Source organism: Homo sapiens, chromosome 11, assembly GCF_000001405.40.
Source record: "Homo sapiens chromosome 11, GRCh38.p14 Primary Assembly".
Lineage (NCBI taxonomy): Eukaryota > Metazoa > Chordata > Mammalia > Primates > Hominidae > Homo > Homo sapiens.
This window is the reverse complement of record NC_000011.10, coordinates 88,265,012-88,267,358: the sequence shown is the minus strand read 5'-3', so window position 1 is coordinate 88,267,358 and position 2,347 is coordinate 88,265,012. Positions and strand designations below refer to the sequence as shown.

At 41.9% G+C, this 2,347-nt stretch overlaps 1 annotated feature.

Annotated features, from left to right (window-relative positions):
• Nucleotides 337-406: an enhancer, noted in NCBI's record as "active region_5379". NCBI's record gives its function as "activates an Ori minimal core promoter by ATAC-STARR-seq in GM12878 lymphoblastoid cells {active_cell/tissue: GM12878}" and the evidence as "EXISTENCE:reporter gene assay evidence [ECO:0000049][PMID:35858748]".

Here is a 2,347-nt window from a genome sequence, read left to right as displayed (position 1 = left end):
TCCTGGCCACTGCCAATGTTCACTCAAGGCCCAAGCGCTCTTCAATCAACTGGTGGCAAATCCAGCGAGACTTGTGGCATTTCCCTTAGCATAGTGAGATCCCCCTGTCCACCAGGGCCTGGATTCAAGAATCTTAGGAATATAGTTGGTGCTCTATTGTGCTGTGGCTAAGCTGACAGCCAAGCCACAAGACAAAGTCCTTCCACTCTTTTCTTTCACTTCCTCATGCAGAAAGAGTTTCTCCCCATGGCCACCACTGCCCCAGGCCTGCAGCAGGTGCTGCCTGGGTACTGCCAGTGTTGACTCAAGACCCAAGGCCTCTTCCATCAGATTGTGAATGCTTCCAGGCCTAAGTCCCTCTCTACAGAACAGTTGTCTTTCTTTTGGCCCAGAATGGGTCCAGAAACACTGTCCAGGAGCCAAGTCCTGGAATTGGTGACCCCAGGAAGCCACTTGATACTCTACCCGACTGTAGCTGAGGTGGTATCCAAGCTTAAGAACAAAGTCCCCTTTACTCTTTCCTCTCCTTTCCTCAAGCAGAAGGAAAGGATTCTCTCCTCATGGCCACCACAGCTGGGAATGTACTGGGTCACACCTAAAGTCAGCACAGCCCCAGGTCTCATCCAAGGCCTGCAGTGAGTATATCTGGCTAATATTGATGTTTATTCAAGGACAAAAGGCTCTTTTCATTAGCAGTTAATGAATTCTGCCTGGGTCCTTCTCTTCATGGAAGGTCCCAGAAGGACTGGGTCCTTCTCTTCATGGAAGCAGGTGCCCTTTTGACCAAGGGTATGTCTAGAAATACTGTCTGGGAGCTAGGGTCTGAAATGGGAGCCTCATAACTCTACCTCATGCCTTATTCTACTCTGGCTGAGTTGGTATCCAATTTACAAGACAAAGTCCTCTTCACTCTCTCCTCTCCTCTCCTCTCAAGGGTAAGGAAGGAGTCTCCCAGAGCTGTGAGCTGTTCTGTCTGTGGTTGGGGTAGAGGAAATGCAAGTACTCCCTTGGCTGCTCTAACTGGTGTCTTGCTAGGTTACATACACACCAAGTTCACTCACTCTGAGTACAGCATAGCAAAAAGATTTGTCCAGGATTTGAAGCCCTTGTGGTCTAGCTTGCCTTTCAAGTTTACTTAGAACCCCAGAGCACTTTGGCTTTTGGTGTAGGTCTTGCTGAAACTCAGGTTTCCACTGCTGTGTTGGATAATTCCACTCTGGCTAATGCTGGTCTAAATGCTCTCTCTATGGATGCTGGCTGAATGTTTCTTTCTGCTGCAACAGGGCAACACTGAGTTCCAGTGCTAAGTCCCACAATCATTCTGCTCTCCCTACTCTGAGCACACAGATTCTCTCTTCATGCCACACAGCTGCTGCCAGTGTATGAAGGAGGAGTGGTGTCAGCAATTCAAGATTGCCTTTCCCACCTTCTTCAGTGCCTCTTTCCTTGATATGATGTTAAAACTAGGTACTGTGATTGCTTATCTGATTTTTGGTTCTTATGATGGTGATTTCTTTTATGGATAGTTGTTCAATGTGGTGTTCCTGCAGGGAGGATGAACGCTAGAGGGTTCTATTTGGCCATCTTCCTTCACCTCATCACCCTGATTATCCAACTTTGTTCTTTTAAAAAATTGTTTTGGTTCTTGTAACATGAATTTACACTTTAGAAACAATGAGATAATATATACAGAAAATTCTTCTGGGATTTGGATTGGAAAGGCATTAAATTTATCTATTTGTTTGAAAAAATTACAATTTTGCACATAGACACATTTTAGTCATTAACATGGTTTATCTCTTCACTTATCTAGATGTTCTTTAATTTCTCTCTGCAATATTTTGTAACTTTTATTGTACATATTTTGCCCAGTTTTGTCAGATTTATTATGAAGTATTTAATGTTATTTTATACAATTGTATGTGATCTTTTAAATTTCAGTTTCCAATCATTTATAGCTAGTAGATGAGAATATAATTTATATACTTACCTTGAATCCTGCAACCTTGGTAAAATCACTTTTTCTAGTAGCTTTTTTTGTAGATTTCATAGGTTTTGTACATGTTGCACAGAAGACAGTTTTACTTCTTGTTTTCCAGTTTTGATGCCTCTTATTTCTTTTTCTTGCACAGTGCCCTGCCTAGAAGCTCCTGTACAACATTGTGTAGAACTGATAAGACCCAAGATTCTTGCTCTTCTTCCTTATTTTGGTGAAAAGCATCCAGTCTTTCATTATTAACTATTAAGTTAGTTGTAACTTTTTGATAGATAAACTGTCATGTTAGAGTAAAAATGTTAGCACTGAAATTATTTAAATACAGAACTAAAGTTAAACACAGAAGCAGTA